At 44.2% G+C, this 25285-nt stretch overlaps 1 protein-coding gene across 6 annotated transcripts in view; it reads right to left on the reverse strand.

Moving 5' to 3' along the window:
• RNF115 (ring finger protein 115) overlaps positions 1 to 25285 on the reverse strand; it is an 85228-nt gene that overhangs the window by 8197 nt on the left and 51746 nt on the right. For 5 of the 6 annotated variants that reach the window (XM_047418027.1, NM_014455.4, XM_047418024.1 and 2 more), the window contains 5 exons: positions 24647 to 24855; positions 5914 to 5985; positions 4374 to 4446; positions 3343 to 3436; positions 931 to 1046 (listed from right to left, as the gene is read on the reverse strand). In XM_047418027.1, the coding sequence (XP_047273983.1) occupies positions 931 to 1046; positions 3343 to 3436; positions 4374 to 4446; positions 5914 to 5985; positions 24647 to 24831 (540 nt within the window). In that variant the 5' untranslated portion in view covers positions 24832 to 24855. Of the gene's footprint in view, positions 1 to 930; positions 1047 to 3342; positions 3437 to 4373; positions 4447 to 5913; positions 5986 to 24646; positions 24856 to 25285 lie in introns of those variants that run through there. The other variant, XM_047418028.1, reaches the window with a different exon arrangement.

Below are 25285 nucleotides of genomic sequence, written 5' to 3' on the forward strand. Positions count from 1 at the left end.
AATAACCCTGAGAATTGTCACATCAAAAATTATGACATGGAACAGAAAAACAATAGAGAATGCATCCTCATAGAGCATGCACTGGCTCTAAGGTGTGATACCAGGATATCTCCCAAACAGAACTTTAAGCAGAACTGACAGGAATAATTCTAGGCCAGCAAGTTAATAACAGCTAATACATACCACCAAACAGAACGAACCAGAAACAGTGAGTGATCTATGACAGGAGGGTAACTGCCCATTACTTCCCAATATGGTCTAGAGCAGAGGTCAGCAAACTTTTTGTTTAAAGGGACAGGAAAATTGGCCGAGTGCAGTGGCTCACACCTGTGATCCCAATACTTTGGGAGGCCGAGGCAGGTGGATCACCTGAGGTCAGGAGTTTGAGATCAGCATGGCGAAACCCTGTCTCTACTAAAAACACAAAAATTGGCTGGGCATGGTGGTGCACGCCTGTAATCCTAGCTACTCTGGAGACTGAGACACAAGAATCACTTGAAACCAGGAGGTAGAGGTTTCAGTGAGCTGAGATCACGCCACTGCACTCCAGTCTGGGTGACAGAGTGAGACTCTGTCTCAAAACAAATACATAAGGGACAGAAAATAAGTATTTTAGGCTTTGCAGGCCACACCACAGCTGTTACAACTAATCAACTCTGCTGACGTAGCACAAAAGTAGCCACAATCTATAACCAAATGAACATAGCTGTGTTCCAATAAAATTTTATTTACAATAACAGGTGGCAGGACACAATGACCTGTAGAACATAGTTTGCAACCCTTGGTCAGAAAAGTTCCAAACAAATAACAGTATCAGAGTAAGCCAGGGATTTATGGGATAAAATCTGATCTACTTGGATCTCGAGGAACTGTTAACTATACCTTTACTCTGAATCATCCCCCAAAGAAGCCATGACTTGCTGTACTCACCAGTTCTAGCCACGGCACAATACAACTGCTGTGAAAGAAGTGATTGCAAGGTAACTGCCGGACTTCCTCTTCAACTGTGTAATCTTCTTTGCATACTGGACACTCTAAACCCATATCTGTTGAAGAAGGAAATGCCTTTTAAAGTAAACAGGCAAAAGGAAAGAAGAAAAAACTAACCCAATGTCTCTACCAACCCTACGAATGCATAAAGAAAAGACACAAGAGACAAAAGAAAATGTACACCCAAGTAGCAGGCAGCTAAGAGGCATGACTTGTATTTCAAAATGAGGGTAAAGGTGGTAGTAGACAGAGACATGAAAAGAAGGAATGATGAATGGGGCCTACTCCAAAAAGGCCTATATAGGAACTATATAAGGCCTATTTTTTGATGTAAAGAGTTGGAAGAAATAAACTGGGGCTTAGATGATCTGCTCAGTAAAACAGGAAAAACATCTTCCCAATGTGTGACAGCCCTCTGGCAGTCAGTTGCTACTGTGAATCTGTCCACCATAGCCAAGGGATTCATCTCAGCAATCTTATCAGTGCAGCGTCTCAAGCCACTTGCCACTTTCACCATGCTCTTTTCAGCATGGGATGAAGCATCCTATTTCAGTGTGGCTGTCCTAAAGTCCTCTGTAAAAACTGTTAATGAGGGTGAAGGCGGGTGGATCACGAGGTCAGGAGTTCAAGACCAGCCTGGCCAAGATGGTAAAAACCCTGTCTCTACTAAAAATACAAAGATTAGCTGGGTGTGATGGTGAGCGCCTGTAAACCCACCTACTCAGGAGGCTGAGGCAGAGAATTGCTTGAACCCGGGAGGCGGAGGTTGCAGAGAGCCAAGATTGCGCCACTGCACTCCAGCCTGGATGACAGAGCAAGACTCTGTCTCAAAAAAAAAAAAAATTATTAATAAAAGCTATACCAGAAAAGAAGAAAATACCAGAAGCCATACCAGAAAAGCTATACCAGAAGTGGTGCTGCAGAACTGCAAAGTCGAAGTCTAGCTCAGGTCACCAAATCAAGAGACAGAAAGCCCTCTTCTCTGAGAAGAAACAGTCATGAACTATACTGGGAGCTCCAAGCAGCAAGTTTTGAGTTTCCCAAATTTGGCTAATACTGTCAGCTAGTCTATACGCCTAGTGGCTGGGATATGCTCCATGAACTAACAGCAGATAAGGCATTTGGAGCAGTACTACTACTTAATAGATTCACTCCTTACTCTCCATTCCTATCACCTTAGCCCTAATTCTTTTACTTCTCATGCCTAGTCTGCTGCAACAGCCTCCCAGCTAGTATCCCAAATTCCACGGTCTTAACCCTCCAAATATATCCTATACTTTGCTACAACTTAGTTTTCCCTCAAACCAGCTCCACAGCAATCCCCAGCTCCTCTTCACTTGGATTCTCAGCTGGCACCTCAAAAATCAACAAATTAAAAAATGTAAAACATCACCTCATCTCCTTACCCAAACCAGGGTCCATTCACTATTTCCCTGTCCCTTAAGATGGCAGCACCATGTTTATAGTTACAAAGCTGTGAAATCTCAGAATTCTCTTTGACTCTTTCCCCTTCTTCATCCCATTATGCAATGAGTGAGGAAAGCATTTCTCCAAAATGATCTTCTGAATCCTTTCCTTTCTGTTAGCATTGTCACCATCAACTGAACCTCATCTGGACTGCTGCAACACTCTAAAATCCCTGTTTCTGCTCTCTCTCACTTCCAATGTTTCACACACTGCCCCTAGACTAATCTTCCCTAAAGACCACTTTACCTGACTCACACACCACGTATATTAGTTCATACTTTTCCTTAAATAGAATGACCTAAGATAGCCCACCTTGTCTTTAAAATCTCTAACTCTAAACCCGAACTGATGGGAACAGAAACTCCCAGACCAAAATGCTGTCCCTTGTCACTAAATTCCTCCAGTGCTTACAAATAAAATAGTATCTATGACTAAGATACCTAACTGTACCTGACACAAAGTAGATTTGAAACAAACTCCCAGCCTATTTTTTTCTTCTCCTTTCCCCAATGTCAGTATCATGTGTCCAACACAGTTTTTAATCATTTGATCAGTTTTTCTTCAACTTGTTACAATCAATTCTTATCTATCTTTGTACCTCTTTATTCCCAATGGCACCTAAAAAAGAGACATAATTGCTCAGGAAATACCAACTGACTAACCTAATAAAGGGGTAGGAACTTTCCAGATTTGGCACCCAGATAGGAATTTTAGAGGGCTATAGCTTCACTTAAAGGTCCTTAATATAGGAAGGTATTGGGATTTTTTTTCTTATTTTTTTGTCTTTTTATTTTGTTCACTTTTTAAACTTTTCACCTGTCAGAAGATACCGGGATTTTGAACCGAGATCAGAAGATGACAGAATAAGTATAAAAATGAACCTACCAACTTGTTCCTGAGTTACTGTCACTGTTGGAAGAGATGTGATCTTTTCCTTGTCAGCTGGGGGAGGGCCTGTGTTTTCCAGTTGTCCTAAAAGCTACAAAAAAAGAGAAAGAAAAAGACGAAGTGGCAGACATCGCAATATCCCTGGAGAGGGAACTGCTCCAGCTGAGAACAAACAGTGCAGACATTAGGTATGTTAGTTACTCTTACTTCTGCAAGGCTCTGAGAGGCTTGGGTTTCCCCTTTCCTGCTGCCAGAACACTCATAATTGCTTTACAATTTCAGAGTGACGTTCGTATAAGCCTACAGACAAACCCATGATTGCAAGGCCCACCTCTAGGCATAAAGCAACTTCAGAGGCAGCAAAAGGGTTGTGGTGTCACGAGTAAAACTATAGCTTAATAAAAAGTAAAATGTAACTGGTCCAAAAGCTTCATCTTCTGGAAGAAGAAAAAAGCGAGAGTATGAAAAGTAGCATAACGTGAGCCAAGAAATAGGTAAATTACTGCCTATAAGACGACTGAATATAAAGGACATGCTTTCTAGTCTCAGAAATCCACAACGGAAATGAAAAACCAATCAAATTAAAATGAACATAAACAAGTGGAAGCAATTATACATGGCATGGGAATACTTTTTTCTCTGCTTCCTTCCCCTACTTTGCTCCATCTAGCAGAAATCCCTGCTTCAACATGTGAGGAAACCCTCCTTTTTTTGTGAAATATTTGTTAATAGAATCCTTATAGAACTGAGCAAGAGAGACAAAAATACAAAATACTATTTGTTATAGAAGTCTTTTCTTCCTATGGAGGTGAAACCATCTTCTAGAAATTCCCTCAGACCTAGGAAGTGCATGGATGCTGAGCTAACCCCATAAATCATTCATCCCTTTAGTAAAATGGAAACCCCAAAGCTCAAAATATTAGAGAAAGCAGAGTGACTGCCATTTCAGAAAGTAGCAGAAGGAAAGCAGGAAGCCTGTGGAACCATGAGACACACTGAACAGACACCCTCAAAAGGCAGCTCCTCACCTGGGTTACAATGGCATCAAGCCCTGTCTGACCCCAGGCATAGTCCCCAGGGTTGGAGTGCAGCATCCCGCTCCTATACGTGAGATGAGATAGACAGCATTAGATGGAGTGACCAGGCTCTGCCTTACACCACAGAAAAAAATTGGCAGAGGGATCCTGTTCTCTCTCAGAGCTGGAAAGTCACTAGTCCTCCAGGATCAAGAGGCAAAGAATTCTGTACATTTTCAAGATCAAACAGACTATCCAGAGATAGTACCTCATTCTCTAAGAATTTTACTTAACTAGAACATAAAATGTGAAGCTACCTAAAGTACCACATGACACGCCAGAACAAAAAGAGTGACTCATTGCCTGTTGGTTTCAAAAATTTGTGTTTTCTGTGCCCACTGATATTAAACACAGATGGAGCTGCTTTTTAAGGAGAGTTTTCCCTTCATGACTGGTCAAAATCTACAGCAAACATCCCTCATTATAAGAGGCCGCCCACAGTTCTGGACAATGAGGAGCTTTCAAGTAGAGAAGCAGCCATAGCAGTCTCTCTGAATCACAACTTAGAGCAATTATAAAAGGGACTTGGCAACACCGTTTTTTTTTATTTTCCCTCAGAGCTGCTGGTACACTACCAGCAGAGGTCCAGACTACTGGATGACAGAGGTCCTAAAAGGACTGAGGTTCCTTTGAGCAAAGAAACCTTCTGGGCCACAGTTAGAAGCAGCAAATAATTTCTCAGACAAGAAGAAATTCCATCTTTAATCCCATCATACATAAGTGTCACTCTGATACTGAATTACAGCCTATTGTTTCTTCTGACAAATCCTCTTACTTTGAAAAAAATGAAGTTCAGCATAATGTTTTCAATTTCAGAAATTCTTAAGGAGTAAAATATTCCTGTGTAGTCTACTGGGGAAACCCACAAATCAGATACCAAGCCTGGCAGGGACCATCTCATTCTCTACCTCAATACAACTCTCAGACCTGAATATAAAAGGAATCAAGACATTTCTAGCACCCAAACATCCTGGGGGACCAGGACGGCCTTCCTGAGCCTGAATAATAATAAAAAAAAAAGTTCTGATTAAGTTTGGGCTTAGCAGATAATGGCAGTGTAGCAGCCTCCAGTTACATCTACATACTCACCTATGCAGCTCTTTTTTTTTTTTTTTTTTTTTGAGACAGGGTCTCTTTCTGTCGCCCAAGCTGGAGTACAGTGGCGCGATCTCGGCTCACTGCAACCTCCACCTCCCGGGTTCAAGTGATTCTCCTGCCTCAGCCTCCGAGTAGCTGGGACTACAGAAGCATGCCACCACGCCTGGCTAATTTTTTATATTTTTAGTAGAGACGGGGTTTCACCATGTTAGCCAGGATGGCCTCGATCTCCTGACCTCGTGATCCGCCAGCCTCGGCCTCCCAAAGTGCTGGGATTAGAGGCATGAGCCACCGCACCCGGCCTATGCAGCTCTTTTTCTCTACTGCACAGAAATGACAGCACCTAAAATATGTCACTCCAATAGAGTAAGATAGAAAACAATTAGTTACTTACCAGGAAAAAGGGTGTGGAGATCCAGGAATGGCAGAATTTGCAAAGAATCCTGCAAAGATGTGTTGTAGTATTCTGTTACAGAAGAAAAAATTAGATAAGACAACAGACTAATGAAAAGTACTCTACAGATATCCATGGCTGCCTAATCACCAACTAATTCCCTAAACCAAAATGGCTTTTCATTGGCTAGTACACAAGAGACAGCATCAGAAATCAGCCTGCCACACAGCGGTGTGCTATTTTGCTATTATGGCTATCTTCCTGAGCTCTGCTATCTTACAGATTAATAGATTTTTGTGAATTAAGCTGGAAAGGGATCTGATGGTATGGTATAGTTTTTCAAACTATGTTCCCTGAATATCTGACATCAACATAAGGAAGGGTTAAAAGGGATGCCGAGCCAGTGGAACTCTGGACCCACCTCCCTTTAACAAGGGTAGTTCCATTTTTGTATGTTGTACACATTGGGTTTCTGAATAAGATATCATTTAAAGAGTCCTTTAAAAAAAAGTTTAAGCAATAATTCTATGTTAAGGTTGTTTCAGATGATTATAACACAAACACATATAAACACACACATGCTTAGCATTTGTCACTCTGAATACTTAAGATGGCACAGGTACACAGTTCTTTACACGAATGAGTCTTTGTTACCCAAAGAGATACTGGAGTGATGCCTCAGCAAAAGAAAAACCTGAAGAAATTGTTTCACTGGATCTTCTGTGTTCTGGATGATATGCAATTTTTTTTCTTTTTTGAGACAGAGTCTCGCTCTGCCGCCCAGGCTGGAGTGCAGTGGAGCGATCTCGGCTCACTGCAACCTCTGCCTCCCAGGTTCAGGCAATTCTCCTGCCTTAGCCTCCCGAGTAGCTGGGATTATAGGCACCTGCCACCACACCCGGCTAATTTTTTGTATACTTAGTAGATTTAGTAGAGATGGGGTTTCACCATGTTGACAAAGCTGATCTTGACCTCCTGACCTCAGCCTCCCAAAGTGCTGGGATTACAGGTGTGAGCCACCACGCCCAGCAATGATATGCAATTTTAAGTCCCTGGTTCCCACTTTACTTATTAGGCCAATTAATATAACAATGGCAATAGCCAACATTAGACTTTCCCTGCTACTAAAGTTCAACAGCAGCTAACTACACTATTCCGTTTGTTTGCTTGCTTTTTTGTATTATTTTTCATTATTTATTTTTAACTGACAAAAATTGCATATATTATGGTATATAACATATTTTGAAATATGTATGCATTGTGGAATGACTACATCAAACTATCAACATATGCATTACCTCACAAACTTATTTGCAACAATAACCCTTAAAATCTACTCTCTCAGCAATTTTCAGATGTACAAAACACTGGTTGTTTTTTTTTTTTCTTTTTTTGAGATGAAGTCTTGCTCTGTCACCTAGGATGGAGTGCAGAGGCACCATCTCAGCTCACTGCAACCTCCATATCCCAGGTTCAAGCAATTCTTGTGCTTCAGCCTCCCAAGTAGCTGGGATTACAGATGCACACCACCACGCCTGGCTAATTTTTGTATTTTTAGTAGAGATGGGGTTTCACCATGTTGGCCGGGCTGTCAAGTAATCCGCCCGCCTTGGCCTCCCAAAGTGCTGGGATTATAGGCATGAGCCACCCCACCTGGCTGAAAACATTGTTATTAACTACTGTCACCCACGTTGTACAACAGATCTCTTGAACTTTTAACTAAAATTTTGTATCCTTCAACATCTCTCTAATCCACCCCCTCTGCCCCACAGCTCCTAGTAACTACCATTCTATTCTCTGCTTCTATGAATTCATTGTGTTTTCTTTTTTTTAGAATGCTTCGTGTTGTTTTAAAAATATGTCCAAAAATTATTTGATAATCTTCCCTTCAGTGTGGGCTGGACTTAGTGACTCACTTAACAATAGAATATGGCAGAATTGATAATCTGTGACTTCCAAGACAAGGTAAAAAAAAGTGGGGGAAATGGCCGGGTGTGGTGGCTCTTGCCTATAATCCCAGAACTTTGGGAGGCTGAGGTGGGTGGATCACTTGAGGTCAGGAGTTCGAGACCAGCCTGGCCAACATGACCCCATCTCTACTAAAAATACAAAAATTAACCAGGCATTAGTGGCACGTGCCTATAGTCTCAGCTACTCAGGAGGATAAGGCAGGAGAATCACTTGAACCCAGGAGGAGGAGGTTGCAGTGAGCCAAGATTGTGCCATTACACTCCAGCCTGGGTGACAGAGACTTTGCCTCAAAAAAAAAAAGGTGGGGGGCGGGGGGCAGTGCTTTCTCCTTGTACTTCTGTCGGATCAATCACTTGCTCTGGGAGAGTGCCATATCAAGCAGTCCTATAGAAAGGTCCATGTGATGAGGAACTGAGTACTGCCAACAGCCAGAACAAACCTGCCAGAATATGTGTAAAGCCTAGTCAATCCTATACTGCAGCAATGGCCAACATCTTGACTATAAGCTCATGAAATCCTGGGCCAGAACCACTCAGCCATGCTACTCCCAACTGAACCTGTTCCTGACCCAGTGAATCTGTGAGATAATAAATATTTGTTGTTTTAAGCCACTAAGCTCTGAGATAATTTGTTATATGGCAATAGATAATATACAGATTTCGATATCTGGATACCGGTGCCGCCACAATAAAGACCCAAAACTTGAGAGTATCTTTGGAACCCAGCAGTGGGGCAGAAGTTAAAAGGACTTTGAGGAGAGCATCAGTGAAGTTTGAAGAGCCTTAAAAAAAAACAGAAGCACTATGGCCTTTGAGGAAGTTAAAGGTGAGAGATTAAGAAAAGGCAGAAAAAATCTGATTAGAAACTGGAGGGAAAAGGATCCTTGTTATATAATGGCAAAGCTGTGGCCTTACCATAACATGGAAAGTAGATGTTGTGGTCCAAAAACTGGTTGATAATCTAGCTAAAGTGATTTCACTTTTGAAAGTACCTCCTGGCTTCTTGCTGCTTACTTTAAAATGCAAAAGAGGGATGAATTAAAGGAAGAACAGTTAAACAAAAAGGACAGAATTATATAATTCTGAGAATTCCCAGCATCTCCAGATTAGTAAATGACACTAAAATTAAGAGATTTCAAGCAAAGATCGAATCCAAGGCACTGCCAAAAGACTGATTTCAGATGAAGCCAAGGATCAGACTATAACACTTCTTTGTTAAGACCTCAGAAAGGGCCAGGCACGGTAGCTCACGCCTATAATCCCAGCACTTTGGGAGGTCAAGGCAGGAGGATCACTTGAGGCCAGGAATTTGAGACCAGCCTGGCCAACATGGAGAAACCTGTCTCTACTAAAAATACAAAAATTAGCCGGGCATGGTGGCACACACCTGTAATGCCAGCTGCTCGGGAGGCTGAAACATGAGAATCACTTGAACCCAGGACACGGACGTTGCACTGAGCCGAGATTGCACCACTGCACTCCAGCCTGGGTGACAGAGTGAGACTGTCTCAAAAAAAAAACAAAAAAAACACAACCTCACAAAGATCTAGAATGGTACCTAAAGAATCATTCAATTAGAAAATCGGACTAAGAAGCTTAAGGGTGTTATGTTAGTTTCCTAGGGCTGCTATAACAAACTACCACAAACTGGGTAGCTTAAAACAAAAGGAATTTATTCGTTCACTGATGTGGGTGTCAGTAGGGTTAGTTCCTTCAGGAAGTTCTGAGGGAGATCAATTCCATGATTCTCTCTGGCTTCTGGTGATGTTTGACAGCAATCTTTGCCATTCCTTGATTTGTAGATGTATGCCCCCCACAACCTCTGCCTCTGTCATCACATGGCTTTCTTCTGTCTTCTGTGTTCATGTCCAAATTTCTAGCTTCTTTTTTTTTTTTTTTTTTTTTTTTTGAGGCAGAGTCTCACTCTCGCCCAGGCCAGAGTGCAGTGGTGCGATCTCAGCTCACTGCAACCTCTGCCTCCAGGTTTAAGCAATTCTCACGCCTCGGCCTCCTGAGTAGCTGGGATTACAGGCATGGGCCACCACGCCTGGCTAATTTTTGTATTTTTAGTAGACACGGGGTTTTACCACATTGGCCAGGCTGGTCTCGAACTTCTGACCTCAGGTGATCCTCCCACCTTGGCCTCCCAAAGTGCTGAGATTACAGGAGTAAGCCACCGCACCCAGCCAAATTTCTCTCCTTATAAGACTATCAACCGTTGGATTAGGGCCCTTCCTGATCCAGTGTGATCTTACTATAACTTGACTACATCTGTAATGACCCTATTTCCAAATAAGGTCATATTCACGGTGACCTTATCAGGGTTAGGACTTGAACACAGCTTTTTGGGGGACACAATTCTACCCATTACAAGTGGTATCTCTCAGCAATCCCAGCAGAAACCCAAGGTGGAAAAAGCCTATTTAGAAGAGATTGGTGGATGTGGCTTTTGCCTAATGGCATGAATCCCAGTGAGATTCACAGGATACTCGAAGTTTTAAAAAGAAACACTGCCAGCTTAAACTGAAAGGTGGAAAAATAGTACAAAATGAAAACCGGTCTCTGGGCCCTGAAATTTCTACTGGCAAGAAGCAAGCTAAGAAAGCTATGCAGCTACAAATATGAACTACTTTTAATGGAAAAGAAAGGATGACTAACAGGGTGGATTCCAGAGTCACAGAGAAGAACTCCTGGGCAGAAGTAGAAGTCCTAGTCAAGGAACTTCTGACATTTGTCTAGACAACTATCAGAATTGCTGTGAACCAGCAACTTCTTTGTGCCATCATTTTCCCTTTTGGAACAGGAAATCTCTATACCTGTTCAGAATCACTGCCTGTCCATATCACTGTATGTTGGGTGTGTGATAGGTAGTTAACCTGTCTCTTTAGTTTACAGGTCTTCACAACAAAAGGAACTATACCTGAGGAACTATACCCAAGGAGCCACACCCACACTTGGACCTAGTTAAAAGGACAGCTACCTATATTTCAAGCTGATGCTATAGAAGAAGGAGACTTTTTTGATAGATTTTGGGAGGAAGTGAGTGCATTTTGCACATAGAAGAAGTGTAAATAATTTGTGGCTAGAGGGCAAACTGTGGTGATTTTAAAATACATCCATAAATTCTCTAGAGGTGGAGCTAATTCTCTTCTCCTTGAATGTAGGCTAGATTTAGTGATTCACCTCTTACAGACAAAATGTAGCAGGAATGACAGTGTGTGACTTCCAAAATTAGGATATAAAAAGATATTATGGGTTTTTTTCCTGCTTCCTCTATCATTCTCTTGGATCACTAACTCCAAGAGAAGCTAGCTGCCAAGTAATATGGACATTCAAGGAGCCCTATGGAGAGGCCCAGATGGTGAGGAACTAAGGCCTCCTGCCAACAGTCATGTGAGTGAGCCATCTTGGAAGTGGATGTTCCAGGTCCAGTTAAGTGTTCGGTTGACTGTAGCCACAGCTGACATGTTGATTATAACCTCATGAAGCCCTTCACCAGAACCATCTAGCTAAATTGCTCCCAAATTCCTGACCCTCAAAAATATTGAGATAATAAATATTGTCATAAGCTGTTAAATTCTGGGGTAAAGTGTTACACAGCAATAGGTAACTAATATATACCCACCTATTTGTCAGTGACAAGAAGGGCAAATTATCTTATGCTTACACTGACCAATAAGTAAATGGTAATAATCAAGTTTGAGAGATAGCCTAGTTCTTGAAGCTGTAAAAGTCAATCCTATATGAATGCTTGGAATTACGAGGGACAACTCACCAGCAGCTGATCAGCTGATGATTTCTCTTTCTTGGCTACTTACTCTCTGGAAGTCAGATGTTAGTCCCATGTTTTTGTAGCAGTAACAGAGACTGCTGAGGGTGGCCCCAATGCATAAGAGCTGTTGCTCAGAGAACAATAGTTGACAGAGTATTTACAATGAATTTTGTTTATTAAAAAAAAATCTTTTCTTGTTAAAGCTAAATGTCTGGGGAAGATGTGGAGGGAAGGAAGATAGTGTATACATTTAATTTTAGAAACTCACAGACGAGAAAAATCAACCCACTGGGTCTGGAAGGGAAGTCACATGCTAAAACCAGGTAAGAGTCTTCACATAGTTTCCAGAGCTGTAGCCTCTCTAGGTTTTCCTTGTACTTCCCTGGCTGTTTCTTCTCAGTCTCCTTTGCTTATTCTTCCTTATCTTCCAAACTTCTAACCATCGAGGGCCCAGGCCTCAATTCTCTGAGCTCTGCTATTTCCTATCTTGACTTCTTTGACCACTTTATCCAGCTTTATAATTTTAAATATCATATATAGGCCACAACTTCCAAATATTATCTCCAGCCAAGACCTCTGCCTATTCAACATTTCCACTTGTATAATAAGCACCTCAAACTTATTATGTCCCAAACTGAATGAACTCTTAAATATTTTCCTCCAAACTTACTCCTCCTAATGTTCCCCATGTCAGTGGATGGTGGCTCCATTCTTCTTGTTTTCAGGCCAAAAACCTTGGTGTCATAACTCTTCTTTCTGTTACACCCCACATCCAATCTGTCAGTAACTCCTATCATGAATATTGCCAAACTGCATCTGAAACCAAACCATTTTTCACTGCTCTCACCCAAACCACTGGCATCTCTAGCTTATATTAATGCAATAGCCTCTTAAATGGTTTCTCTGCTGTGTCTTTGCCTCGCACACCTCGCAGCCCCCCATTCTATTTTCAGCACAGCAGTTAGAGCAATCATTTCAAGATATAAATGACACCTAACTCTCCATTGGAACAGAAGCTCTTATAATTGCCAACTAGGCTTCATATAATCTAATACCCACCTCCCCATTCCCACTCCCATCAACTTCTCCTACCATTCCCCTCACCTTCTCTGCCCTACATTGGTCTCTCCTTGTTTGTCCATCCCTACACTTCCTTGGTGTCTATTCAGATACTTTCTCAATAAGACATTTGCTGACTATGCTCTTTTTGAAACTTCACTTCAACCATATTCCCTATCTCCCATCCCTGCTTTTCTTCCACCATAGCACTTACTACTGCTTAAAATTCTATTTATTTTGATCATCTATCTTTCTCCATTAGTACTTAAGCTCCACGAGGGCAGTCATTCTTGACTATTTATTGACTACTGTATGCCCAACATCTGGCACACAGTAATACACAATGTCTGCTGAATAAATTAAGAGACCTCTTATGGGGCCAGGCAGAGTGGCTCACACCTGTAATCCCAGCACATTGGGAGGCCAAGACAGGAATACAAGACTAGCCTGGACAACATAAGGAGACCCCATCTCTACAAAAAAAATTTAAAAATTAGCTGGGCCTAGTGCTGCACACCTGTGGTCCTAGATGCTTAGGAAGCTGAGATGGGAAGATCACTTGAGCCCAGGAAAAAATTAATTAAGAAACCTCCCCTAGATGGGCTCTGATATGGTTTGGCTGTGTCTCCACCCAAATCTCAGCTTGAATTGTATCTCCCAGAATTCCCACATGCTGTGAGAGGGACCCTGGGGGAGGTAATTGAATCATGGAGGCCGATCTTTCCCATGCTATTCTCATGACAGTAAGTCTCATGAGATCTGATGGGTTTATCAGGGGTTTCTGCTTTTGCTTCTTCCTCATTTCTCTTGCCGCCGCCATGTAAGAAGTGCCTTTCACCTCCCACCATGATTAAGAGGCCTCCCCAGCCATGTGGAACTGTAAGTCCAATTAAAGCTCTTTTTCTTCCCAGTCTTGGGTATGTCTTTATCAGCAGCGTGAAAATGGACTAATATAGTAAATTGGTGCCAGGAGTGGGGCATTGCTGAAGAGATACCAAAAATGTGGAATTGACTTTGGAACTAAGGAACAGGCAGAAGTTGGAACAGTTTGAAGGGCTCAGAAGAAGACAAGAAAATGTGGGAAAATTTGGAACTTCCTAGAGACTTGTTCAATGGCTTTGCCCAAAATGCTAATAGTGATATGGACAATAAGGTCCAGGCTGAGGTGGTCTCAGATGGAGATAAGAAACTTGTTGGGAACTGGAGCAAAGAAGACTCTTGTTATGTTTTAACAAAGAGACTGGCAGCATTTTGCCCCTGCCCTACAGATTTGTGGAACTTTGAACTTGAGAGAGATGATTCAGAATATCTGGTGGAAGAAACTTCTAAGCAGCAAAGCATTCAGGAGGTAACTTGGGTGCTGTTAACCAGTTTTATAAGGGAAGCAGAGCATAAAAATTTGGAAAATTTGTAGCCTATGTGACAAAAAAGAAAAACCCATTTTTTGAGGGGAAATTCAAGCCAGCTGCAGAAATTTGCATAAGTAGCAAGGAGCCTAATGTTAATCCCCAAGACCACAGGCAAAATGTCTCCAGGCCCTGTTAGAGACCTTCACAGCAGCCCCTCCCATCACAGGCCCAGAGACCCAAGAGGAAAAAGTGGTTTTGTGGGCTGGGCCCAGGGTCCCCGTGCTGTGTGCAGCCTAGGGACTTGGTGCCCTGTGTCCCAGTTGCTCCAGCCATGGCTGAAAGGGGCCAACATAGAGCTTGGGTTGTGGCTTCAGAGAGTGCAAGCCCAAAGCCTTGGCAGCGTCCATGTGGTGCTGAGCCTGCGAGTGCACTGAAGACAAGAACTGAGGTTTGGGAACCTCCGCCTAGATTTCAGAAGATGTATGGAAACACCCGGATGCCCAGGCAAAAGTTTGCTGCAGGGGCGGAGCCCTCATGGAGAACCTCTGCTAGGGCGGTGCGGAAGGAAAATGTGGGGTGGGAGCCCCCACACAGAGTCCCTACTGGGGAACTGCCTAGCGGATCTGTGAGAAGTGGGCCACCATCTTCCAGATCCCAGAATGGTAGATCCACTGACAGCTTGCACCAATGCGCCTGGAAAAGCCACAGACACTCAACACCAGCCAGTGAAAGCAGCCGGGAGGGAGGTTGGACCCCGCAAAGCTACAGGGGTGGAGCTGCCCAAGACCACGGGAACCCACCTTTTGCATCAGCATGACCTGGATGTGAGACTTGGACTCAAAGGAGATGATTTTGGAGCTTCAAAATTTGACTGTCCTGCTGGATTTTGGACATGCATGGGACCTGTAACCCCTTTGATCTGGCCAATTTCTCCCATTTGGAATGGCCGTATTTACGAAATACCTGTACCTCCATTGTATCTAGGAAGTAACTAGCTTGCTTTTGATTTTACAGGCTCACAGGCAGAAGGGACTTGCCTTATCTCAGATGAGACTTTGGACTTCAGACTTTTGGGTTAATGCCTAAATGAATTAAGACTTTGGGGGACTGCTGGGAATGCATGACTGGTTTTGAAATGTGAAGACATGAGATTTGGAGGGGCCAGGGGCAGAATGACATGGTTTGGCTGCTGCCATGTTAGAAGTGCCTTAGCCTCCCACCATGATTCTGAGGCCTTCTCAGCCATGTGGAACTATTAAATCCAATTAAACCTCTTTTTCTTCCCAGTCTCAGGTATGTCTTTATCAGTAGTGTGAAAACAGACTAATACAGGCCCCAATCAAATGTATCTTGAAAGATATATACAATCTATTAAGATAAAAAAGATTATAAAATATGTGTAGTATAATCAATTCAATTTCAATTATATAGATGTAATTATCATATATATGTATTTAAAAAGGTCTACAAGATTATACATCAAGGTGTAACTATGGCTATTTCTGGATAAGGCTGTCTTTTTATTCCATACCAAAACAAATTTTTTTTAATAAGAAAAAAAAAAGTTAACCAAAAAAAGTCAGTTCTCAAAATCTGAGATGTGATCAGTGGTCAGAAATCTATGGTCCAAGAACCTAGGGTTAATTTCAGAAGAACATATTCTCTAGGTGGGAAATCTTAAAACATATTCTTTACATAGCCATAAAAAAGAACGAAATCATGTCCTTTGCAGCAACATGAATATAGCTGGAGGTCATTAGCCTAAGCAACTTAACACAGAAAACAGAAATACCACATGTTCTCACTTATACATGGGAACTAAACATTGGGTACACAAGGACACAAAGTAAGGAATAATAAACACTGGAGATCACAAAAGGGAGAGGGAGGGAGAAGGGCAAAGGTTGAGAAACTACCTATAGGTACTATGTTCACTGCTTAGGCCATGGGATCATTAGAAGCCCAAACCCCAGCATCACACAATATACCCGTGTAATAAACCTGCTGTTTTGTGAGTTACCAGGAAAGCAAATTTTTAAAAATTAAAAAATAAAAACCAAACCTGTACACGTACCCCCGAATCTAAAATAAAAATAATAAATTTTTAAAAGAACGTATTATTTAGGTGGGACACCTTCTTAGAAGTAATGTACCCTACACAGCGAATCAGAAACAGCTTACTGCTAAAATCAAAGAGGCTTCCTTTATATAACCAGGAAGGAGACTAAACTACCAAGCTAAAGTGTAACAAAAAAACAAAAGAGTAAAGCACAATAAAATAAAAATGGGGCTGGGCGCAGTGGCTCACGCCTGTAATCCCAACACCTTGGGAGGCCAAAGCAGGCAGATCACTTGAGATCAGGAGTTCGAGACCAGCCTGGCCAACATGGCAAAACCCCATCTCTACTAAAAATACAAAAAATTTTCCAGGCATGGTGGCTCATGCCTGTAGTCCCAGCTACTTGGGAGGCTGAGGCAGGAGAATTGCTTGAACCTGGGAAGCAGAGGTTGCAGTGAGCCGAGATCACACCACTGCACTGCAGCCTGGGTGACAGAGTGAGACTCCCTCTCAAAAAAACAAAACAAAACAAAAACAACAAAATAAAATAAAGATGGGTTTTAATGTAGTAAGTGCAGACTAATGGGTGGTAATCTCTATTACTTGTCTGGAAAACATGAATGTGCTGGTGTTGACCTAACACAAAGGAAAAAACCTAACAAGCATTAATATTTTACCGTCTTAAAAAATTATTTGGCCCTCCCCCTCCCCCTCCCCCTCTCCCTCTCCCCATGGTCTCCCTCTCCCTCTCTTGCCATGGTCTCCCTCTGATGCCGAGCCGAAGCTGGACTGTACTGCTGCCATCTCGGCTCACTGCAACCTCCCTGCCTGATTCTCCTGCCTCAGCCTGCCAAGTGCCTGCTATTGCAGGCGCGCGCCACCACGCCTGACTGGTTTTCGTATTTTTTTGGTGGAGACTGGGTTTCGCTGTGTTGGCCGGGCTGGTCTCCAGCTCCTAACCGCGAGTGATCCGCCAGCCTCGGCCTCCCGAGGTGCCGGGATTGCAGACGGAGTCTTGTTCACTCAGTGCTCAATGTTGCCCAGGCTGGAGTGCAGTGGCTTGATCTCGGCTCGCTACAACCTCCACCTCCCAGCCGCCTGCCTTGGCCTCCTAAAGTGCTGAGATTGCAGCCTCTGCCTGGCCGACACCCCGTCTGGGAAGTGAGGAGCGTCTCTGCCCGGCCGCCATCCCATCTAGGAAGTGAGGAGCGTCTCTGCCGGCCGCCCATCGTCTGAGATGTGGGGAGCGCCTCGGCCCCACCGCCCTGTCTGGGATGTGAGGAGCGCCTCTGCCCGGCCGCGACCCCGTCTGGGAGGTGAGGAGCCCCTCCGCCCGGCAGCCGCCCCGTCTGAGAAGTGAGGAGCCCCTCCGCCCGGCAGCCGCCCCGTCTGAGAAGTGAGGATCCCCTCCGCCCGGCAGCCGCCCCGTCTGGGAAGTGAGGAGCCCCTCCACCCGGCAGCCGCCCCGTCTGGGAAGTGAGGAGCGTCTCTGCCCAGCAGCCACTCGGTCCGGGAGGGAGGTGGGGGGTCAGCCCCCGCCCGGCCAGCTGCCCCATCCAGGAGGGAGGTGGGGGCCAGCCCCCGCCCAGCCAGCCGCCCCATCCGGGAGGGAGATGGGGGGTGCCTCCGCCCGGCCAGCCGCCCCGTCCGGGAGGTGGGGGGTGCCTCTGCCCGGCCGCCCCTTCTGGGAAGTGATGAGCCCCTCTGCCCGGCCACCACCCCGTCTAGGAGGTGTACCCAACAGCTCATTGAGAACGGGCCATGATGACGATGGCGGTTTTGTGGAACAGAGAAGGGGGAAAGGTGGGGAAGGGATAGAGAAATCGGATTGTTGTTGTGTCTGTGTAGAAAGAAGTAGACATGGGAGACTTCATTTTGTTCTGTACTAAGAAAAATTCTTCTGCCTTGGGATGCTGTTGATCTATGACCTTACCCCCAACCCTGTGCTCTCTGAAACATGTGCTGTGTCCACTCAGGGTTAAATGGATTAAGGGCGGTGCAAGATGTGCTTTGTTAAACAGATGCTTGAAGGCAGCATGCTTGTTAAGAGTCATCACCACTCCCTAATCTCAAGTACCCAGGGACACAAACACTGTGGAAGGCCGCAGGGCCCTCTGCCTAGGAAAACCAGAGACCTTTGTTCACTTGCTTATCTGCTGACCTTCCCTCCACTATTGTCCTATGACCCTGCCAAATCCCCCTCTGCGAGAAACACCCAAGAATGATCAATAAAAAAAAAAAAAATTAAAAAAAAATTATTTGAAGTGAAATATGAGTAATTCCTTAGCATTTATCACAATCTGGATGGAATTTCTCTTAAAGATCATGCAATTTCCTTGCTGATTCTATATGTACTAAACAACCATCTGATTGCTTTTGATTTCTTGATACTTGAGAAATTCAAAGACAAGAGTATGCTAACAAACAAATGAGTTTTATAGTCACTGAAACAGAATACCCTCAGTTATAAATTTATAAATTAATCTGCTGGCACAGGTCAGATGCACTTAAAGTCAGATAAGATGAGCTAGTCTATTCAAGACCTAATTAACTATCATTCAAAAGCTGCAGATTAGAGGATAAAGCACATACTTTAGGGACACTGAATAAATATTTGCAGAATGAATGAACAATGTGAGAGTTCCCTGTCTCTGTGTTAGTAAAAAAGTTTTACTCATGCCAATGAAAAAGTCAAAGAAAATGGACCTCATTTCAGGGAAACTTATTAAGTTGGTGTGAGGAACACACTAATAATCCCACAAAGGCTAATCTCTGACATCTGATTTCTTAAATACAAATACAAAGTACTCTTTTTCTTTTTTTTTTTTTTAATTGATCATTCTTGGGTGTTTCTCGCAGAGGGAGATTTGGCAGGGTCATAGGACAATAGTGGAGGGAAGGTCAGCAGATAAGTGAACAAAGGTCTCTGGTTTTCCTAGGCAGAGGACCCTGCGGCCTTCCGCAGTGTTTGTGTCCCTGGGTACTTGAAATTAGGGAGTGGCGATGACTCTTAACAAGCATGCTGCCTTCAAGCATCTGTTTAACAAAGCACATCTTGCACCGCCCTTAATCCATTTAACCCTGAGTGGACACAGCACATGTTTCAGAGAGCACAGGGTTGGGGGTAAGGTCACAGATCAACAGGATCCTAAGGCAGAAGAATTTTTCTTAGTACAGAACAAAATGAAAAGTCTCCCATGTCTACCTCTTTCTACACAGACACGGCAACCATCTGATTTCTCAATCTTTTCCTCACCTTTCCCCGCTTTCTATTCCACAAAACCGCCATTGTCATCATGGCCTGTTCCCAATGAGCTGTTGAGTACACCTCCCAGACGGGGTGGTGGCCGGGCAGAGGGGCTCCTCACTTCCCAGTAGGGGCGGCCGGGCAGAGGCGCCCCTCACCTCCCGGACGGGGCGGCTGGCCGGGCGGGGGGCTGACCCCCCCACCTCCCTCCCGGATGGGGCGGCTGGCCGGGCGGGGGGCTGACCCCCCCACCTCCCTCCCGGACGGGGCGGCTGTCCGGGCAGAGGGGCTCCTCACTTCCCAGTAGGGGCGGCCGGGCAGAGGCGCCCCTCACCTCCCGGACAGGGCGGCTGGCCGGGGGGGGGGGGGGGGGGGGGCTGACCCCCCCACCTCCCTCCCGGACGGGGCGGCTGTCCGGGCAGAGGGGCTCCTCACTTCCCAGTAGGGGCGGCCAGGCAGAGGCGCCCCTCACCTCCCGGACGGGGCGGCTGGCCGGGCGGGGGGCTGACCTGACCCCCCCACCTCCCTCCCGGTCGGGGTGGCTGGCCGGGCAGAGGGGCTCCTCACTTCCCAGTAGGGGTGGCCGGGCAGAGGCGCCCCTCACCTCCCGGACGGGGCGGCTGGCAGGGCAGGGGGCTGACCCCCCCACCTCCTTCCCGGACGGGGCGGCTGGCCCGGCAGAGGGGCTCCTCACTTCTCAGACGGGGCGGCTGCCGGGCGGAGGGGCTCCTCACCTCCCGGACGGGGTGGCTGCCGGGCGGAGACGCTCCTCACTTCCCAGACGGGGTGGCTGCCGGGCGGAGGGGCTCCTCACTTCTCAGACGGTGTGGCTGCCCGGCGGAGGAGCTTCTCACTTCTCAGACAGGGCAGTTGCCAGGCAGAGGGTCTCCTCACTTCTCAGACGGGGCGGCCGGGCAGAGACGCTCCTCACATCCCAGACGGGGTGGCAGGGCAGAGGCGCTCCCCACATCTCAGATGATGGGCGGCCGGGCAGAGACGCTCCTCACTTCCTAGATGGGATGGCGGCCGGGCAGAGACGCTCCTCACTTTCCAGACTGGGCAGCCAGGCAGAGAGGCTCCTCACATCCCAGACGATGGGCGGCCAGGCAGAGACGCTCCTCACTTCCCAGAAGGGGTGGTGGCCGGGCAGAGGCTGCAATCTCGGCACTTTGGGGGGCCAAGGCAGGCAGCTGGGAGGTGGAGGTTGTAGCGAGCCGAGATCACGCCACTGCACTCCAGCCTGGGCACCATTGAGCACTGAGTGAACGCAACTCCGTCTGCCATCCCGGCACCTCGGGAGGCCGAGGCTGGCGGATCACTCGCGGTTAGCAGCTGGAGACCAGCCCGGCCAACACAGCGAAACCCCGTCTCCACCATAAAAATACGAAAACCAGTCAGGCGTGGCGGCGCGCGCCCGCAATCGCAGGCACTCGGCAGGCTGAGGCAGGAGAATCAGGCAGGGAGGTTGCAGTGAGCCGAGATGGCAGCAGCACAGTCCAGCTTCGGCTCGGCATCAGAGACAGAGAGAGACCATGGCAAGAGAGGGAGAGGGAGACCGTGGGGAGAGGGAGAGGGAGAGGGAGAGGGAGCCATTGTTTCATCTTACCCCTGAGAAACAAAGGCCCAGCGAGGTCAGACGCTTGCCCTTGGCCTGGGCCACACAGTGAGTGAAGGTCAGAGCCTAGGCGGGAAACCACCTCTTTCACGGCAAAGCCTTTGTTCTGGCCTCACTCCTCCACTTTCACTCTTCTCCGCTCAGATCCTGCCCATCCCCTGGGCTCACAGGAGATGCCCCTTGGAGGCCTCCAGGCCAGCGCCCACCCCTGTGGCTGTGGCATCCTCTCCAATGGCAGGCACAGACCTGGACCCTGTTGGCGCCAGCCAAAGTACTCTTTTTCTTGAAATGAGGTCTTGCTCTGTCGCCCAGGCTGGAGTACAGTGGCGCAATCTCGGCTCACTGCAACCTCCACCTCCCAGGTTCAAGTGATTCTCCTGCCTCAGCTTCCTGAGTAGCTGCGATAACAGGCAACCGCCACCATGCCTGGTTAATTTTTGGATTTTTAGTAGAGATGGGATTTCATCATGTTGGCCAGGCTGATCTGGAACTCCTGACCTCAAGTGATCCACCTGCCTCGGCCTCCCAAAGTGCTGATTACAGGTGTGAGCCACCGCACCCGGCCATTAAATACAAAGTACTCTGTCTACAGTGAAACCCGTAGAATGAACAGGAATCTGAGATGCAGCCCATGGAAACCATAAGTGGAATGCCCATATGCTCCTTCTCAAAGCAAGAGGACAAAACTGTTATCAGGAAGAAGCCATGCTAAAATTCAATCAATTTTTAAAAATGTATAAAACATGAAATTGTACTTTCAAAACATACAGTGACATCATAATGACAATTACTGTAAAGTAACAACCATATGGAACAATCTAGGCAGGCCTGCTAGCTGGGTATAGTAATAGGCCCCAAAGATATACTGTGTTTATTTATACTTCTATGAAAGAAAAGAGAAAAGAAACTGAATTAAAAACTTTCAAGTTCTATTTACTGATATACTGGTGCCTTGGAAGGAAAGTTTCTGAGAAAATTAGGGAAATGCTTAAATCTTTGGTTAAAAAATAAGTGAGAAGGCTACTTAATTTTAAATTTTTGACTTATACTAAATAGTTATACTAAAATTTTTTAGTATAAGTAAACAGTTAAAAATCTCACCAAATACAAATACTTTGATTATTGCACTATCCTGGCTCCAATATTTAACTGCCTTTATACTCTTAGACAATTTACCTAAACTCTCTGTGCCTCAGTTTCTCCAGTAAAATGGAGATATTCACAATACCTTCTTCACATGGTTATAGTGAGGATTAAACAAATGAATACCTGTAAAGCATTTAGACTAGTTTCTGGCACATACTCTTAGCTATTATTACTATTAATTCATATGTTTTTTATACTTTTTAGAGACATAATTACAATTATCCACTTATTCAAAACAAACATGTTTAGTAGCCACTATAAAACCGATACTGCACTAGAAGCTGAGAATACAGAGATAAATAAAACACTACCCTATACTATCAACCACAGAAGTAACTGAAAAGACTGTAATAGATCTAGTTCCCAAAAAGATACCAGGTCCAGATGGAATTACAGGTAACTTGCATTAAACCTTTAAATAATAGGTAATTCCTGTGTTATGTAAACTATTTCCAAGCATAAGAATACAGCAAGTTTTCCCAGTTCCTTTTATGAAACTAATATAATCCTGACACCAAAACTTGATAAAGAGACTCATCCTCTTTTGAATAAATGTAAAAATCCTTAAAAAAAAAAAAAAAAAAGATAAGGAACAAATCAACTCCAATAATGTGTTAAGAGACTCCAGCCTGGGCAACCTAGTCTCTACCAAAAATTGAAAAATTAGCCAGGCGTGGTGGCACATGCTTGTAGTCCTACCTAGTTCATAGGCTGAAGTGGGAGGATTGCTTGAGCCCACCGAGTTTGAGGTTGTAGTGAAACATGATCTTGCTACTGCATTCTAGCCTGGGAAACAAAGTGAGACCCTGTTTCCCCAACCCCGACCCCTAAAAAAGAGGTTTTAGTGCTCCTTGACAAAGCAGCTTGAATAAAAACACTAGAAAACATTAGAAAACCTACTTGTTAATAAAATGCATTAACTGTTTAAGGGAGAAAAACTCTAAGGTCATTTTGATAGGACTGCAAAGGGCATGTGACAAAATCATTAGTCATTCTTAATTAAAAGCCCCTAATAAATTATGAATAAAATTAAACTTTCTTAGTATGATAGTGCATATATTAGGAACCAAAAGCAAACAAGTTTAACAAAGAAACACTAATGGATAGATATGTAATAACGCAAGTATAGTAAAATGTTAATAAAGCCTAGAAGGTGTGTGTTGGGGGAAAGGGGGAGTGTAGGCTCTAGAACAGCACTGTTCAATAGAACTAAGATAATGGAAATTTTCTATAATATGTTCTGTCAAATATGATAAGTATTAGCTACATGTGGCCAATGAGCACTCAAAATATAGCTATTTGGGATTGAGGTACTTTGAATTTTGAGTTTTATTAACTTTTGGTTAACTTAAATGTAAACATATAGCTACATGTGGCTAGCAGCTACCATATAAGACAATGTCGCACTAGATTCATATAGCCCTAGATTCAAGTCTTAGATCCACCAACGGCTGTTACTTTATTTCTGAGACTCAGTTAATTATTTTATAAAATGAAAACAGCAATAGCACCTATTACTTCACACAAATTAAACAACATAAAGCAGATAAAGCATGAAGCACAGTCCTCTGCATATGGTAAACACTTAAAATTAACGTTTATTATTCCAACTAAATGAGATCCATGAGCAAAACCATCTATTTGACTCATCATTGTGTTCCTAGTGTCTAGTACAGTGTCCCATACAAAAGACACTCAACAAACATTTATTACATGAATGTTTTTACAGTCACAAGACTTCATATTTATCCTATTAAATTTTTTTCCTTTCTTCACAAAAAGCAGATACTTGATTAAATTTCATGTTAAGTCCACTGTTCCAATCTGTTGAAATATTTAATCCTAATGCCTAATATATTTGATACCCTTTTGAAATTTTGATAAATATACTGCTATAGTTTGAATGTGCCCTCCTCAAAAATTCATGTGTTGGAAACTTAATCCCCAGTGGAGCAGTGTTGAAAGGTGGAGACTTTAAGAGATGAATCTCCTGTGAGTGGATTAAATGCCTTTATCCTGGAAGTGGATTAGTTATTGTTGAGTGAGTTCCTAATAAAAGGATGAGTGTGGCACCTTTCTTTCTTGCTCATGCATGCTCTCTTGCCCTTCTGCCTTCCAACATGGAATGACACAGCAAGAAGGCCCTCGCCAGATGTGGATCCCTCAACCTTGGACTTCCCAGCCTCCAGAAATATAAGAAATGAATCTCTGTTCTTTATAAATCACCCAGTCTCAGGTATTCTGCTATAGCTGCACAAAATGGACTGAGACACATATCATCTATAAATTAATCTGAGCCATTAATAAAAATGTTAATCAGAGACATAGCATTTCTCACTCTCTGGTTTATCATCGGGTGAGTACTAACATTCAATTTAGCTTCACTTTCATCCTTTCTACATATGTCCATCTTGTCCACAAAGGTAATAAGTATGAGACCCTTATAAAGATTAGATTATACCAATTTGTCCTTCATTGAAACTACCTTAAAAAGAACTTAAAATAAAACAACTCACCCTTCAATAGCTGGAGATCTGTCAGGACGAGAACTTCCTCGAGATCTGTATCTCCGACCCAATGGCAACCGTGGAGGTCTTGCTCCCCAGAAGTCAGTGTGAGTCTGGTGACCCCTTTCATTGGCTCTATTATCTTGGTCCAGTGGACTGCTACTTAGAAAGGGTCTAAAATCTTGAAAAAACATCGTGTGATCCAAATGGCCCCAAAGCTAGTAAAGACCAGAAATAAGTCACATGTTAGAAAAATCAATCAATAAACACCTGGATTGTTTACAGTTTTTTATATTACAAATGGCCACTGTGAATATTACTGTATGTCTTCTTCTGCAGAGGTACCAGAGTTTCTATATTTTTGGTCTGTAAAACTATTACATGATCTATACATCTTCAACTTTACTGGGTAATGACAAATTGTTTTCCAAACTGGTTGTAGCAATTTAAACACCCACCAAGTGTTTAAGAGTTTCTACTGTGCCACATCCTGGCAAGCACTTGATGTCACAGGACTTTTTTTAAAAAAAGTTTTTAACAATCAGTGAACAGAAAATGATTTTCCATTGTGGGGCTTTTGGTTTTGCTGTGTAAGAAAAATTACGAATGTTTAATTAAAATGCATGTTTCGGTCCTATGCCAAAAAGA

This window comes from Homo sapiens, chromosome 1 (genome assembly GCF_000001405.40).
Source record: "Homo sapiens chromosome 1, GRCh38.p14 Primary Assembly".
NCBI lineage: Eukaryota > Metazoa > Chordata > Mammalia > Primates > Hominidae > Homo > Homo sapiens.